At 36.2% G+C, this 17,913-nt stretch overlaps 1 protein-coding gene and 1 long non-coding RNA gene across 6 annotated transcripts in view; one reads left to right on the forward strand and one right to left on the reverse strand.

Annotated features, from left to right (window-relative positions):
- ARHGAP42 (Rho GTPase activating protein 42) overlaps positions 1-17,913 on the forward strand; it is a 306,654-nt gene that overhangs the window by 162,695 nt on the left and 126,046 nt on the right. For all 5 annotated transcript variants that reach the window (NM_001367945.1, NM_152432.4, XM_011542616.3 and 2 more), the window contains one exon: positions 9,572-9,643. In NM_001367945.1, coding sequence (NP_001354874.1) covers positions 9,572-9,643 — 72 coding nt within the window. The remainder of the gene's footprint in view (positions 1-9,571; positions 9,644-17,913) is intronic.
- On the reverse strand, positions 15,763-16,108 carry LOC105369457 (uncharacterized). The gene is made up of 2 exons (XR_947949.3): positions 16,024-16,108; positions 15,763-15,922 (listed from the first exon to the last, which is right to left on the reverse strand). It is a non-coding gene; the product is annotated as an uncharacterized LOC105369457 (long non-coding RNA).

Raw genomic sequence — 17,913 nt, forward strand, 5'->3', positions numbered from 1 at the left:
AAATGCTCCTCCTTTAATGATCTCTTCTTAACCTTACTGTAGCCGTGCTGATCCTTACCTCATCATTATATTATTTCAAGTAAGCATTTCATAAGCCAAGAACAATCATCATTATTCTACTGAAGTTGACTTTTTATCACACACATAAACATGGCATCAGCACAATACTGAAACCGTGTTTGGGGATGCAATAGACAGTGCGTATCACTTTTCAAAAAAGATTTTAATAGGGAAAATAACTACTTTTGAAGATATAGAAATTAGAAAATATGAAAATAATACGTAGGCTACGTGGTTCCACTGTAACTTAAGGCTCCTAGGCTACAGATCTATACAGGATATCACTGTACTGAATACTGTAGGTGATTGTAACACAATGGTAAGCATCTGTGTATCTAAACATATTAAACACAGAAAAGGTAATGTGTTGTACTGCAATGTCACAACAGCTATGACATCACTAGGTGACAGGAATTCTTCAGCTCCATTATAATCTTATGGGACCTCTGTAGTATATGCAGTCTTGTTGACCATATATACCGTGTTGTGGTCATAATGTGGCTGTTATGTGTTATGTATTTATTCAAAAAACACCTATATTAAACAACAAATAGTGGTAAAGAGTGCTAACTATACAAGATCTCTTTTATCTAGTTATTAAAGCATGTCTTTTAAACATGTATCTGTTAACCTATAACATTTCCAATTAAATATGTCTTTTCCAATATTGAAAAGATTAAATTCATTTGTACTTCTTTATACTTAAACTTAATTTTACACATGTAAGGCTTTCTGGTTTCTGAGTTTCCCTAACAACATTGGCACAAACTTCTACTCTAGCACTGGTGACAGTTTTAGCTTCACAAGTCTATCTGGGAGATAGTAGCTTTCTTTTTTTTTTTTTTTTTTTTTTTTTTGAGATGGAGTCTCGCTCTGTCACTCAGGCTTGAGTGCAGTGGCAGGATCTCAGCTCACAGCAACCTCCGCCACCCAGGTTCAAATGATTCTTATGCCTCAGTCTCCCAAGTAGCTTGGATTACAGACGTGTGCCACCATGCCTGGCTAATTTTCATATTGTTAGTAGAGACGGGGTTTTACCATGTTGGCCAGGCTGGTCTTAAACTCCTGACCTCAGGTGATCCACCCACCTCGGCCTCCGAAAGTGCTGGGATTACAGGTGTGAGCCACTGCGCCTGGCCAGGAGATAGTAGCTTTCTATGGTGCTAGACTGTGAAAGATTCTAGGGATGAACCTGAACACTGAATGAATGATCACAAAATGTTAGCTATAAACATTATTTGCTAACAAGAGCAACAGCATTCATGGTGCATGCCATTTATATTTAGTCATGTATTCATAACATTTCAGTCAGCAATGAGTCACATACATGATATTGATCCCATAAGATTATAATGGAGCTAAACAATTCCTATCGCCTAATGACATCATAGCTGCCTTAACATCATAGTGCAATACATTACGTGTTTCTGGTGATGCCAGTGCAAACAAATCTGTGCTGCCCATCTGTGGAAGTATGGCACATAGAATTGTGTGTAATACGTAGCACTTGATCATGATAATGAACACCTTTGTTATTGGTTTATGTATTACTATACTTTTGATCATTATTTTAGAGTGTATACTTCTACTTATAATGAAGTTAACCATAAAACAGTCTCAGGCATGTTCTTCAGAAGGCATTCCATGTATACAATGTTTGCACGATGACAAAATCGCCTAACGATCCATTTCTCAGAACACATGCCCATTGTTAAGCAATGCGTAATTACGTATTTGGCTCCAGGCAGTGGTATGTTGGTAAAAAGTTAACCACTGGCACTCAGGTGCATGTTGTATGCACATGCATGCATACATGTGCCTATGTATGTGTGAGAAATCTGATTGGTAGTGCTTGCTGATCTTCACTGAGTAAATCCTCCCACCTTGGCTGATTTCAACACAAGGTCACTTACCCAGTGCAGGTTGGGAAGAGATGAGCACAAAGGTTCTGTGAGCCACTATGAGCCTGCTTTAACACACTGCTGGCCCCAGACCTAATTTTCCTTAATTTCTCCCTGTATTAGTTAGATCATTCTCTGCTTTATTTATGTACATCTGTATCCTGCATAGTTCCTTCCTTCTTTCCCTCTTCTCTCCTGTCCTCCTCTTTATTCCCATTCTCCCCCATTAATGCACAACTACAATAAGTAATTTAAGAAATTGCATATATATTGGGATATCTTCCATTTTTCTTAAACTTTTAGCAATCTGCTATTATCTAAATACTGAACAATTATGATTAAATTATATTAACGTTCAGCTACTAAAATGCAATTGCTATAAAATATGACTGGGAATTTATTTAATGCATTTTATTTGCTTTTAAACTTGCAAAGGCTATCAGAAGTTTGCTTAAATTCACGAATGAATAATTTATAACAGATGAATGATTTTATTTTTTCAACCCAAAGATACTTAGTAGGGAATACCAAGAAGAATAGAGCAAAATTAGCCAGAAGAAATAGCATTAAGCGGGAGGAAGGGAGTGATATAAATTATCACTTTGCTGAAGCTCCCTCCCCTTGCTCCCATACACAAAGCCACTTTCCCCCACTCTAAGTTAGGGGTTAGAACATGTAAAAAGAAATATTTTTGAGGCCCTAATTAGCTCAGCTTGGGATGTACAGTGTCTCTGATTTTTGAGGTGGGAGAATGGGAGGAGGTGTATTTTCATGAACATGAGGATATTGACATAAATGGGGCAACTGTGTTACAGGAATATTTTTGGCCATCTTCTATAGTACTAACAAACATAGGAACATCACTGGAGTGGTCTAATTGTGCCACCAGAGGTACAAAGTTCAGCAGACCCTGGTGTTTCCTTAGAATGTGCAAAGGTAGAGGACTGGCTGAAGTAACCTTACCAGTATCCCCGAAGAACATTTTTACCTAGTCAAATGCAGGAGCGAGTATTTAACCTGTTGGAATGAAACAACTTCAGGGTGCAACATTTCTTAAATCTCTCTCTGAGAATACAGGTTCTGAATGACATAATTTAAATATCTTCCCTGTGTGACCTTTGAGTTAATATAGTCTTTTAAAAAATTCTATAAAATTGCTTTCTTAAATGCATACATTTTGGTCAAAATCAAAAAAGTATTTTTTTAAAAGTGAATGTATATGCAGGTCATTTGGAGTAATTATTTTAAGCAGCTTTTAAGATGTCAATCCTAATTTGACCTTTCACATATCTTGATATTTATAGTTGAAAAGAAGTTTGACTTTGTTTTCTGACTGTTTTTAGCCTCCAATATTAAAGGGTTATAAATGAAAAAGCAGTAATCAGGCTGGTGATAAGTAGATAAGTGGGGAGGCAATATGCTATGGTTAAGTCTGGTATTTGAAAATGTTTCCACAATGCTTAAATGTTTAAAAAGTGTTCTTACTTTAATCCCCCATTAGAGATTGCTGGGTAGAAAGGAATAAAACAAAAGTAGTTTCAGAACAAGAAGAAGGATACAATAAATAACCTACCTTTGTGGTTCAAATAACTTAGTACACAAATAGTTTCATTTGTTACCACCTAGAGTTATGATGTTAATTACATCACAGTGGATTATATGAAATTTTACAATCTACTCTCCTCTCCCACTTCCTCTGCTAGATTCTGTGAAAATGGTCAATTCCTTCTTGGTTGAATGGTTTTCCATTCCTCCACCTTATGAGTATAGATGGTTTTATTTAAAAAATAGCAAACTTTAATTTGATTTATACATTCAGCAGTAGTTATAAACTCTAGAAGTAGAGAGGATTGCTTGCCATTTTACCCCTATTAACTGCTCTTCTACAGTTAATAAGCTTTGACATCAAGTATGTGCTAGTGAGATTTCACTCTTATACTAAAACTCCAATAGCAGCTTCCTAATTCATTGAAAAAAAAAAATCTAGAGCACTGCAATTGGCCTACTCAAAAGAAAGAATTTAATGGGCAATTAATGCTTTATTAATAAGTTTTTATGATCATTAGACATAAAGTAAAAAATTTAAGCTTTATAAGCAGGTCATGAGATAAGGACATATTATCATCTTTATTATATAGAAAAGAAAACTTAGTTTGAGTAACTCGATCAAGATTGCATAGTTGTCATGGTTAGGCCAATTAATTAAAAATAAATGGGAGTATTCTCCTGAGAGTGTATTGCTTCTGCTTATCTTCTGAAAAAGAAGAGGCTATTCATATAGCACAATTCTCCAGAAACTTAAATTAATTTTCCCAATATATTTCCATAGGAAAAGTATTATTGCTGGTAAAAATGGAGAAAGATGAAAGTTATATTAAATTCAAGTAAGAGTTAGATCTAACTGATGAGGTCCAATGGGGTGGGATTCATAGTGGAACTCTGTCACTAAGTAGATCCAAAACATTCAAATGCTGAAGCAGCAAGTGATGTTCAAGTCAGAATTAATTGAATGACTAGTATCCAGATAGCCTTACATAGCATTTGTTTTTAGATGACAATATGTTTTTTTCAGTCGTTTGCTCACATTAAAGTGTATGAAGTAAAATGTATTCAGTCCTTGACTTCTGATTACTTATTAATGCAAGACGTGCTCGTGTATCCATCCTCTATACCTCGTGTGAGTTTTGGCCATTGAGATCTAGTTTAGTGGTGCTGTGGATTTGCTGACCTAGAGAAGAATGTCTATATTATGTAGCTATAGAGAGTTAAATTGGCCAGTACCAGGGAGTGAACCCCAGGCTAGCACCCCAGTTCCCCACCCCTTGCCAGAACTTCTTTCTAAGAAGCTATTGAGGAAGGAAGAACTAGATACAGTTTGGGACAAGGCAGAGAAGAGATGCTTGCTTGTAATCAATCACAAATTAGAACTGTGATGTGATTTTCAGCTGTGATGTGATTCAGTTGCAAATATGAATGGGAAAATAACCCATTCTTTTACGTCGAAGACGGTGTAGATAGCTTCTGCATCGATTATGATCATTTCACTTATTATTACCTACCTTTGTGGTCTTTCCACTTTGTATTGATTGTTTATATTGACATCTCAACAGGAAATTATTTTTGCAATGAACTGTACCATTTATGTTTTTTGTTGTAAATAGTGTAGCGTATTATAGCCTTAAGCAATTGCTTTAAATAGTACTTTAGAATATCAGAAGTATTGCTTTAAATAGTACTTGAGAATATATAACTAAATCTTTGCATCAAAACTGAGTGTTTTATTGCTTTGAAAATGAGAGGTAAGGAATTGTAATTTTTCTGACATTCGGATGTGTTAGCTAATGAGTTGCAAGATAATGGGACATATAGTCATTAATTAGTGATGAGCTGTGACTGGCACCAACATCACTGGATTTTAATCAAAACCTGGAAAGGGAAGTAGTGTAAAAATAAAATTGTTAAGAGACATACCTTTCAGATTTATTTTATTCCATTGCTACTTTTTTTAATGAATAAGTGTGGCAAGATTATCAGCAGTGAAAAGCAAGCACTGAAAATTCCTATCAGATAGCACTTGAAAATGCATGATCCATAGAAAATTATAATTCATGATTATGTGGGGGAAAAAAAGGAAATCCAAACATATTTGGAGAATCATTCTTCAAACCACATAAAAGCGTTTCTAGCCATTACTTTTGAATGATTTATGTGCACCCCCTTGTGGCTATTTATTAGAACCACTTGAAATAGCAAAAGAAAGTGACAGGAAACTTAATTGCCTGACTTAAATAACCTACCCACAGTAAAATGCATGGTAAATGCTATATTGTAAAGTATTACCAAATATCAGATTTGCTTTTCTTCTACTGAAAATAAGTGAAATCACCAGTAATTGTTTTTTACTTTAAATGTAAACCAATATCTATAAAAATAAGTTGTTCAAAGCCAAGGTTTAGGTAATGGCTAGTAATTATAAGTTAATTGTTTCTTAATTACCATAATAAGGTATCTTCAATAATTTATCTTATCAATATTTAGGGAGAGTCTTAAAATTGATTTTGTATTTTTTCTAAAGCATCTTAGTAAAGTCATGCAAAGTTGCACATTCCACAGATACTGTGGGATCCTGAATCTCCTGAACTCTGACTTGATTTTTCCCCCAAGTATTACCCTTTTGGAAGGAATTTCATCAAGCCTGTTTTGTGAATCCGGATGAAAGAGTTCCATATGAGCAAAAATTGCATTTCTCTACATTTATTTTTTAACTTTGCAAGGTTTGTCACCATCGTTGTACTCTAATTCACATTTTAAATAAGGGTTTCCTACCCTTTATATGACATTTTCCTTTCTTATGCAGTAGCAACAGTAACTCTTTTAATCCTACCAAAATTTTAACACCTTCTTGACTTCACACTTGGATTGCTTTAGAATTGGAGAGTTTAATCCATATGAGTGACCACTGTGTAGGGATAAAAGTCATGTATTCCCAGGGGGAATGTATAAAGATGAGGCTCACAAGCAGCCAAATTGGTTTGTAAATCCACTTAGTGCCCTTTGAGTGCTGGCATTTTCCATTTTGATCTCTTGAATTTAAATTTACATATTGTGAACAGCAGCCACTGACTGCACACAAAAGTGATAACATTTTTCAGAGGTAGAGCCAGGCATTTGTTATAATGGTTTATGGAAAAATGTAGGGTTATCTACTACTGCTAGGCCTCTGGATAAGTTCTGTTATTAATCTGGATTTCAATTTCTAGCTTTGAATAACTACATTTTAAATCATTTGGGGGAAACTATAAGACTGCTTAGGACAGTTATGAATACAGAGTAGACATTCAATTAATTCTTTGAGGAAGTTAACATTTTTTGAGAGCCTTCCATGTGCCAAATCTATGCTAGTGATTTTTTTCAAAATAATTTATTTTGCTTTTAATTTTTTATAAAAACCTTAAGAAGTACAGGGATGAAACACTGTGTGTTGTCAGTTTTGGCACTTAGATTCAAATGAAGCTGAATCTGTCTTCAACATTCATGTTTTTAATACATTCCAGATCATTTTTTATATGTTTGACTTCATTACCCATAAAATATTGACTTTGATCTCTATATTGTGAAGACCTTAATGTAGTATTTGACGCATTAGAAACACTCAAGAAATCATTTCTGTTCTTCTTTATCACAGTGTTGGATGTTTTCACACCCTTCTTTTTTTTCTGTTTAATACCTTTGCCACTTATTTATTTCTTCCTTCGGTTTAACATTAATAGAACGGGAGAAGAAGAAAAAAAAATTAAAGCAAATCCCAAAACAAAGGAAAAATAACCCAAGAAATGTGGAAGAAATAGAGATAGGAAATTATACTTAGGCCACAGGGTGGCTGTTAATTATTCTGTTTTGTTATATCATCTGGCTTTTGCTTTATTCTGAGGTCATATGTATGTAACAGTGAGAGAAGGGGTAGATGTAAACCATTGGATGTGAATGTGAGTGCCAAGGTCTTAGGATATGACATCAGCCCATCTACTCCCTTTCACAATCCTTTCCTTCCCAATAAAAAACATCCATTCATATTTATTAGTTCTGCCAATGTGAGATGGGATTTCTGACATAATATTTCTTTGAGTCTTTCCATGACATCAGATGTAACTGGACCAAAGTGAAATTAATCATTGCCTTTGTTCTTTTTCTACCATGCATACTCCCTACCTCATTTGCCCCAATTCTGATACGTTACTAAAGTTCCAGTGGCTGAGGCCAAAACCTTAGTTTTTCCATTGATTCCTCTCTCTTTCTCCCTCTACGCAATTTGTCATTGAGTCCCTTTGTGTCTTCCATAGAACTGTCTCTGGAATTCCTGCTATGCATCTGTCAATACTACAGAAACCCGTCCTCGTTCCTTATCACTTCAGATTTGAATTTCTCTCCCAGCCATTTAGCTGGCTTTAAATACATTAGCTCATGCTTGTGAAGGACTTATTGCAATTTCCAGCATAAAGTAAACATTCAATAAATAGTAGGCTTTATTGTTGCTATTACTCCAAGTTACACTAAAGTACTTATGATACTGTCTTTCCCCTTATGCAAACTTAACTTTAAAGGTGAAGTCAGCTATGTGTCGCATCTGTACAATCTGGATAGGGGTGTGTGTGTGTGTGTGTGTGTGTGTGTGTGTGTGTGTTTATGTAATTAGGGTTTTAATGAGGGCATAGAGGTTTTAGAGAGAGAATTAAAAGTGAGCTATTTTACTACTATTTCCAATAATCTCTGCGCAGTAGGACGCCTGCACAGTCTATCTGGAGGTATGTCTGTCTGAGCTCAGAAATGGGGATTAGGTGATGGATGCCAGTGGTATCTCCAGTTGGCCCTCATTGTCTGAGACAAGATTTTTTGAGTATTAGTCCACTTTCTATGCTTTCACAGCATAGGATTTTGGTCTTCTTTTCAAGATCTGTCATTCTCATTTTTCTGCAAATCGAGGATTAACAGGATCATGGATGGTGGTGTCAACACTCTAGTTTTTATTTTTGTATATTATCTGTGTGCATTTGTGTATTATGGACTTTAAGAAATTAAACTTGACTAGAGATAAACCAGTTTGATGAAAATAAGGAAAGTGACACTTTTATTGAAATGCACATATTTTGATATAATTTCAAACTTACAAAAAGGTTAGAAAAATAGTACATGGAACACTTGTATACCTTTTAACCTATTTTAAAGTAGGATAATATATTTTAAAAATAAGAGTTTTTCTCTCTTTATCCTGGCATTTGCTATTCATGTAATAGATTATGTTCAGTTGTCATAGTGGTAGAACAAATTACAAATTTTGTAAACTGGGCCTCCTCTTTATTTTAATGCTTTCTAAAGGCTGTTTTTTAAATCAACATTCCCCTCCAGAATAATGGTATCCTTAGAAATTTCTGTCTGCTTCATTCAGTTGCTTGTCTTCATATCTTGCACTCCCATTGTAGTAGTCTTACAGATCAATATTAAAAGATTTATTTGTTTTAAAGTTTAAGTAAATCTCAATGTGGAATTTGGGGCTAAAATATGTTTTTATTGAAATGGAATCAAATACTATTTTAGTCAGGTTGGAAACATTATGAGAATGTTCAGGCAAACCTCAATTCCTCATTTTGAGGAATCTAACTAAATAGGGGGAAAAATAAGCCTAATTTTGCAGCTGTAGAATTCTACCATTCTAATGGAAAAATGGAAGAGCTTTTATATAGTTTAATTTTAAAATGATGCTTGAACTGGCTACATTAAACCAGTGTAATTATAGGTATTTGTAAATTTAATACCCAATGTGCTATTTCTTAGTTAAGTCTTAGAAGAAGAAATTTAAGTATTCAAACTAAGATTTCACCACAACAAGTACTTATTTTCGTATTTTTCACATTGTTGTTAGGATCAAGGGAAATAATATGCGAAAACAGCTTAATTATATAGTAGAAGAACTGTATATAACATGTAAGTTGTTTTTATAGATGCAAACAAAAACAAAAACAGTCTATTTGATACATTGGATAAAGTAGCCATTTTTTCAATGTTGTTGGCATGAAATTATGCAAGATTTAATATATGTGCATTTTTTATTTCAGATCCAAAACGCTAACGATGTATTAATTGCACCACTTGAGAAATTTCGAAAAGAACAGATAGGTGCAGCAAAAGTAAGTGTTACATTTTATTATTCTTCAGTTATTCTCCTGATAATTAAAGATGACATAATTTCAGATGTTAACATTTTTGAAATTAGAATGACCTTTTAAAAGATTTTGTACATCATTTAAAACTTTTTGCATAGAGACTTAACAAAGACTGGACTTCTTTTAGACATAAAAGATGTTATTATTCTACTGAGTAGATAAGAAGCATGTTATAAATGAGTTCTTCCTTTCCCAAAAATTATAGGAAATTAATGATTTTGAAGACACGGTGAAATTATGAGGAGCTCTGTTCCTAAATAAAATAAAAATTAGGCACAGGGCACATTGAAAATTCAAGCAGTGATTATATGAGAACTTTTAATATTCTTTGTATTTTTTATAAATAAAAATATGTGTTTCTGAAAAAATTTAGAAATGTTTGTCACAAACCCTTTTTGTTAATGTTTAATTGACTATGGACCAATTAAATTTTTTCTGATTCTCATCATCTGAAATTTGCCTGTATCCTCATTCTTAGAGCCATATTTTAACCACTTGTGCAACATCATGGGAGCATATAAAACTTAAGGTTTCTAAAATAGAACTAATCATCTCCCATCCTTCCCTCATTCTTACCCTGTTTGAGTTTTCCTTTTAGTCAATGTCGTATCCCTTCCCCATTTGAGCAGTGCTGTCCATTCTAATGCAGAATTATTTCTACTCCTTTCCTCTTTACGTCTGTCTGAAATATTTGAAATAGCCTACTAATTGATCTCCACACCCTCCTTCTAACATATTAACAAATTTTCACCATCTCCAATTATGTCATTCTTCCAATGATGAAACCTTCTGTGGTTCTGCTTGACAGTTTAATTTTGATAATGAAAGCTTTCCACAACTTGGAATTTTGAACTTTGCTACCCACCAGCAGGCACAGTTTTCTGTTCACCCGGCTCTGTATATACCTGACACTAATCATGTCTTTGCCCAAACTTTTCCCTCTCTCTGGAATACTTCTTACCCTTTACTTTTTGAAGTCTTGCCAGACTTCATATCCCAGCACCAGAAACAACCCTTCCTTATATAGGCCTTTCTCATGCAGATGTTCCCCTTCCAGAACCTATTTGGTTTCCTTTTCTTAGGATTGAATAGCCTTTACACATATTCCCCATAAGAAGTTAACACAGTTTGCCTTGATTAGAATTTTATGTGCATTTCTCCACCAATTGTGAGCAATTTTCGAGTGAAGGACTAAAATCAGAACCATTTTTATGTTAATTAATTCAGCAAATATTTATCAGTCTCATGGTTGGCTCACACGTGACATGCATGGTGTTTGATAAGATGAACGGATGTAGCTGTAAACAAGTCAGAGATGATTCCTGTGTGTATGTCCCTATTATCTTTCATGAAAAACAGACATAGAAGTAATTACAAGTGTATTGGGGATTGCGATGCAAAAGTGCTTCACAAGGGCATCATTAATGGATCTGAACTTGTCCAGGAAATCAACAAATGTCTTCTGCAAGAAGTGTTAGGTAGAGACCTACGTCATGAGGAAGAAAAAGGGGACACAATGGTGGGAAGGGAAAAAAACTTACAAATATTCCAGAAAAGGGAATGGAATATGGGAATGAATGAAGGTTTTCTTGGTCGGGGAGGGAAGAGCCTGGCATTTTAGTGGAAGAAAGTCCAGTATGTTTGGAGCACAGTGGACCCTGGAGGTAGAGGCCACGTGTGCAGCTTTATAAATGACTCACAGTATTTTACTCCCTAGCCTAAGGGCAGTGATAAGCAATAGAAACGTAAGTGGGAGAGTGATATCATATTTGTATTTTAAATGTCATTCTAGATGCATATCATGCATGGATAGGAGGCCAGACTACCTGGGCAAACCAGTTTTGGGGCTGGCAGTTAGTGGCTTTAGATAAGGAGGGTGAAAGTAACTGGGGACAAGGAGATGTATGAAAGCTATTTTAGAGGTGAAATGACAACAGTAAGAAGTGGGTTACATACTGGAAAGTTAGTAGGAGAAGGTTTCGGGAATGTCCCTCTGGATTTCAGGTTGCATAACTGGGTGGTTGTTGAACCACCTACTGATATAGGCCACATTTATGTTGGATGACAATGATGGTAAGTTGAGTTTTTAGTCATGATGAGTGAAATTTAGGCTCCTCTGAGACATCCATGTGATGTTGAGTTAGCAGGTGTGTATTCGGATCTGAATTAGAAACAAACATTTGGGAATTCTATCTTCTAGGTGCTTATTAAAATCATGGGAGTAGATTAGATCCCTTTGAGAAAGAATAGAGTGAGACGGGAAGAGGACCCAGGATGTTTATAACCAAAGAACTCTCTCAACACTTGATGTTTGGGGAAAGAAAGTTAGGAAAGGAGGCTGAGAAGGAAGGAACAAAAGAAAGAAGAAATGACAAGAACATGGTATCCTAGCACAAGGAGAGTCTTTTCAAAATTAATAATAGCTAATTTTTATTGGCGGGGACTTTCAGTGAAAATCTGTGACCTAATTAAATAGTCACAGCAAACTGTGAGGTGTGGGTACTAGTGTTATACCTGCTTACAAATGAGGAAAATGATGGGGTGACTTGCACCAAATCACAGAGCTGATCTGAAAGAGTCAACATGTTCCCCAGATGAAGCCATTTTATTTCAGAGCCTTGACTTAACAAGCTTTCACTTCATCAATGGTGTTTTTATAAAAAATTGAATTAGAGCATTGTGAAAAATTCTTTCCCTAGTACACATATTCCAAGTTTTCTAGCCCCCAAAAAGAGTAAGTTTCATCTGTTTGGGAAATCTTTTTCTTATTTGGAGGTTCAAGTTATCTTACAGTTGCAGTGGCAGGAGTCTTAATAACATTTTATTTTGTTTTGTAAACATCTCAATTGCAGAACAGATCAACTGAGAACACCCGACAGTATACTATGCCTTTGCCTGCTCACTGGAAGGTTAAATTTGTGATGAAATGAAGCCGGTCTTGAGCATTAATATTATTGCATTTAGTTTTTTGGTGGTGGTGATTCTGTGTATTTTATCTGTCTGATGCATTTAGTACTAAATTGTTTCTAAGCTGCCAAGTAGTTCTTGCTTAGTAAAGTGAATAGTGAATTAAAAACAAGCATGTTCGGCTGGGTGTGGTGGCTCATGCCGGTAATCCTAGCACTTTCGGAGGCTGAGGCAGGTGGATCACCTGAGTTCGGGAGTTCGAGACCAGCCTTCTGACCAACATGGAGAAACCGCATCCTCTACTAAAAAAAATACAAAATTAGCCAGGCGGGGTGGTGCATGCCTGTAATCCCAGCTACTCGGGAGGCTGAGGCAGGAGAATTGCTTGAACCTAGGAGGCAGAGGTTGCAGTGAGCCAGGATCACGCCATTTCACTGCAGCCTGGGTAACAAGAGCGAAACTCCGTCTCAAAAAAAAAAAAAAAACACAAAACACACACACACACACACACACAACAACAAAAAAAAGGCATGTTCTTCTGAAATATATGTATAGATCAATTTTCTTTTGGCATTGTGAAATAAACATACTTGAAAGTACTTATTTTTTTTCTATTACTTTACTTCCTGTTTACTTAGGTATTTTCTCATGTGGTGCATAAAGTTAATTCTACAAGTGACACTCTGCTGCTTTTCAGCCTTTGCCTTGGAGATTTCCCACAAGCATGTTTGGGCTGATTAGCCAGCTGGAAGGGAGGGCCGTTGATTAAAGGTAGAATCTTCCACTGCAGTCAGCGACCTCTTCAGCTTGGTCCACACAGGCAAAGCAGAGTGGAAAATGCTGAGTCAAAGTGGCCCTTGCCTAACAACCAGATGATACTACTTAACTGCAGTGGATAAGATCCATGGACCACAAACATTTCCTTTGTAGTGTATTCTATGGCACTTTGAGACACCTGATACTTTGCTGTGAAAGTGAGGCTCTTGGTAAGTTACAGTTGTGGGAAAGAAGCATTGTTCATCTGTGAGAGGCATTAGAAAAGATTAGTAATGGGGTTGTTGAACTGAAGGACAGAAGGAAATGGGTTCTGCTGTTTCAGATACTTGGAGATTAGAAGAATTATCTATAAACAGTTGTCAAGGAAGTATTTATTTAAAGTTTCTTAGTAAGATGGTATATTCAGAATGAAATTGTGTTACAGGCCAGACATATTACATGTGTCAGAGGCTTAGACTGAATGTTTGGTTTCTCCTGACACACTGCTGGTTTAAATTCTAGAATACTAGTGGAAAGCAGGTATTCAGAACACTTGATGTCAACTCTATGAATTTCCACTATAGGAATATATCTGTAATCGTCGTATTAGCATTATGCAAAAGTAATGGCAAAAACTGCAATTACTTTTGCATCAACCAAATAATATAGAGTGAGATGAATCACAATTGTTTTTTTGGATGCTTTTTGAATAAATTGACAGCTCTATTTCCATTTCCATGACCGTGTTGGAAACCTCCTTGTTCTCAGAGAGAATCAATTTTAAGTCCTCTCTGCACTTTATATGCCTGTTGCTACATAGACCGGCTGACTCTGAAGTATAGATAGAGCTCTATGTCTGAGGATTTTTTTTTTTTTTTGAGACGGAGTCTCACTCTGTCACCCAGGCTGGAGTGCAGTAGCGCAATCTCGGCTCACTGCAACCTCCACCTCCCGGCTTCATGTGATTCTCCTGCTTCAGCCTCCCAAGTAGCTGGGACTACAGGCGCCCGCCACCATGCCTGGCTAATTTTTGTATTTTTCGTAGAGAAAAGATTTCACACTGGCCAGGCTGGTCTCAAGCTCCTGACCTCAAGTGATCCGCCCGCCTCAGCCTCCCAAAGTGCTGGGATTACAGTCGTGAGCCACCGCACCTGGCCTATGTCTGAGTTTCTAATCAAAGATAATACACTGTGGATAAACAAATGTATGTTTATAAACATACATACACACCAGAGCATTGCATATGTTTAGTGATGGAACTTGCGCTAAGGAGGCCAAAGGCTCATCTTCCACATATAGATGTGTATTATACAGAAACAAACTGGGAAGAGACGTGGCCCAGTGAAGATCAGAACTCAGTTCCTCAGACCAGAAGCCTTTCTACTCCCTAGAGCAACTCTGTTGTGAAATACTTCATTTTCTTTACCTTTAACAAATAAATGGTTTAGTGTGAAATATCTTCGTTATCAAAATGTTTCAAATATGCCCAAACTTACCCCTTGAACCAAGCATAGTTAATACGTTTCCCTTATTTTTGAAATACCCCTTGATGTCCAGGGTCCCCAGTACACAGTAGGCACTTAATGGTAACTTGTTTCATTAGAGATAACAGACTTGGGAAATACTGCCCATAAAAGTTAAATTTTTATTTCTATGAGAAATGTTTTGTGAGACATTGGTTTTTATTTTTAATAAGACGTTAATAAAAATCATATGAACATTCTTCTGTGGTATGTATATAGAAATCAACAATATATTGCTAGTCATTTTATAATAGAGCTTGATTTCTTTATATTGTTTTCATGTTGAAGACTGTAATGGAAACTGATAATTCTGGTCCCTTTGTTCTGTCCATAGTAGAGTTTGCTTCTGTCTCTGAACATTCGTTTATTATTTTTAAACATTCCTTATACATGCAGTTAATTAAGCATGTAATATCCAAAAAAATCTATATATAGTTGTCACAATTCCTGTTTCAGTCTTAGATTTCTGTCATGTGAAAAGTGACTGCAGTCTAACTTGTCTCAAAATAAAAATGGCTTAGAGAATTTAAGAAGTATTACAAATGCCTCAGTCAACTTGAGCAAAGCTGCAGGATACAAAATCAATGAAAACAAGCAGCTTTCCAGTATAATACTAATAATAAATTATCCAAAATGAAAATTGAGAAAACAATCCCCTTTATAATAGCAATAATAAAATTAGGAGCAAAGTTAACCAAGGAGGTAAAAGATCTGTATATACGTAGCTTCCTTGGAGATAGATTTTGTAGGTTCAGTTCCAGACCACTGGCCTAAAACAAATATCCCAATGAGTCACACATATTTTTTATTTCTTAGAGCATGTAAAAGTTATATTCATACTATACAGTAGCCTCTTAAGTGTGCAATAATAGTGTTATGTCAACAAATCAATGTACATACCTTATTAAAAATATTTTATTACTAAAATAGGCTAACAATTATCTGAGCCTTTAGTGAGTTGCATTCATTTTTCTGGTGAAGGATCTTGCCTCGATGTTGATAGCAGCTGACTGATAAGGGTGGTGGTTGCTGAAGGCTGGGGTGGCTGTGGCGGTTTCTGAAAAGAAGACTACAGTGAAGTTTGCCTCATAGGTTGACTCTTTCTTTCATGAAAGTATTTTCTGGAGTGTGCGATATTGCTTTTTGATAGCATTTTACCTATAAGAAAACATCTTTTAAAATTGTAGTCAATTCCCTCAAACACTGCTTCTGCCTTATCACGTAAGTATATGGAATATTCCAAATCCTTTGTTGTCATTTCAACAGTATTCACAAGGAATAGATTCTATCTCAAGAAACTAGTTTCTTTGCTCATCCGTAAGAAGCAACTCCTCATCCTTTAAGTTTGACATGAGATTGCAGCAATTCAGTCTTGTCTTCAGGCTCCACTTCTAATTCTAGCTCTCTTCCTGTTTCCACCACATTTGCAGGAAGTTCCTCCACTGACGTCTTCAAACCCCACCAAGTAATCCATAAGGCTTAGAATCAGCTTCTTCCATGAATCATAAACGTTGTCAATGGCTTCTAGAATGTTGAATCCTTTCCAGAAGGTTTTCAATTTACCTTGCCTAGATCTATCAGAGAAATCACTGTCTATGACAATGATAGCCTTATTGTATTAGTCTATTCTCCCACTGCTATGAGTAACTACCTGAGACTGGGTAATTTATGAAGAAAAGAGGTTTAATTGACTCACAGCCATGTACAGGAAACATGGTTGTGGAGGCCTCAGGAAACTTACAATCATGGGGGAAGGGGAAGCTATCACCTTCTTCACATTGCAGAGCAGGAGGAAGAGAGAGAACAAAAGGGGAAGTGCTGCACACTTTCAAACAACCAGATCCCATGAGAGCTCACTCTCATGAGACTAGCAAGGGGGAAATCTGCCCCCATGATCCAGTCACCTTCCAGCAGGCCCCTCCTCCAACAGTGGGAATTACAGTTTGACATGAGATTTGGGTGGGAACACAGAGCCAAACCATATCAGTTATGAAATGCCTTTTTTTAATCATAAGACTTGAAAGTCAAAATTACTTCTTGATCCCTGGGCTGCAGAACAGATTTTATGTTAGCAGGCATGAGAGAACATTAATCTACTTGTACATATCCATCAGGGTGATCAGGTAAATTGGCAATGAGTAGTACTATATTTTAAGGAACCTTTTTTCCTTAGCAAAAGATCTCAAGAGGGCACTTAAAATATTCAGTAAACTACAATGTAAAAAGATGTGCTATCATTCAGGCTTTGTTGTAACCTTTCTAGAGCACAGGCAGAGTAGATTCCACATACATCTTAAGGGGTCTAAGATTTCTGGAATGGTAAATTAGCATTGGCTTCAACTTAAAGTCACCAGCTGCATTAGCCCCTAACAAGAGACTCAACCTGTCCTTTGACGCTTTGAAGCCAAACATTGACTTCTCTTCTCTAGCTATGAAAGTCCTGGATGGCATCTTCTTCTAAGAGAAGGCTGTTTTGTCTACATTGACAATCTGTTGTTTGGTGTAGCCACCTTCATCTATGATTTTAGCTATATCTTCTGGATAACTTGCAGCAGCCTCTACATCAGCATTTGCTGCTTCACCTGAGACGTATATGTTAGGATGTGGCTACTTTTCTTCCCCATGAACCAACCTCTGCTAGCTTCAAACATTTCTTCTGCAATTTCCTTATTTCTCTCAGCCTTCATGGAATTGAAGCGAGTTAGGACCGTGCTCTGGATAAGGCTTTGGCTTAAGGGAATATTGTGGTTGATCTTCTATCTAGACCCCTAAAACTTTCTTCATATTTGCAATAAAGTCTGTTTTGATTTCTTACCATTTGTGTGTTCACTGGAGTAGCACTTTTGATTTCCCTCAAGAACTTTTGTATTCACAGCTTGGTTGACTGGCACAAGAGGATTAGCTCTTAGCCTCTGTCAGCTTTCAACATACCTTCCTCACTAAGCTTAATGATTTCTAGCTTTTGATTTGAAATGGTAGACATATGACTTTTCCTTTCAGTTGAATACTTGGAAGCCATTGTACGGTTACTAATTGGCCTAATTGTGT

Source organism: Homo sapiens, chromosome 11 (assembly GCF_000001405.40).
Source record: "Homo sapiens chromosome 11, GRCh38.p14 Primary Assembly".
In the NCBI taxonomy this organism is placed as follows: Eukaryota; Metazoa; Chordata; class Mammalia; order Primates; family Hominidae; genus Homo; species Homo sapiens.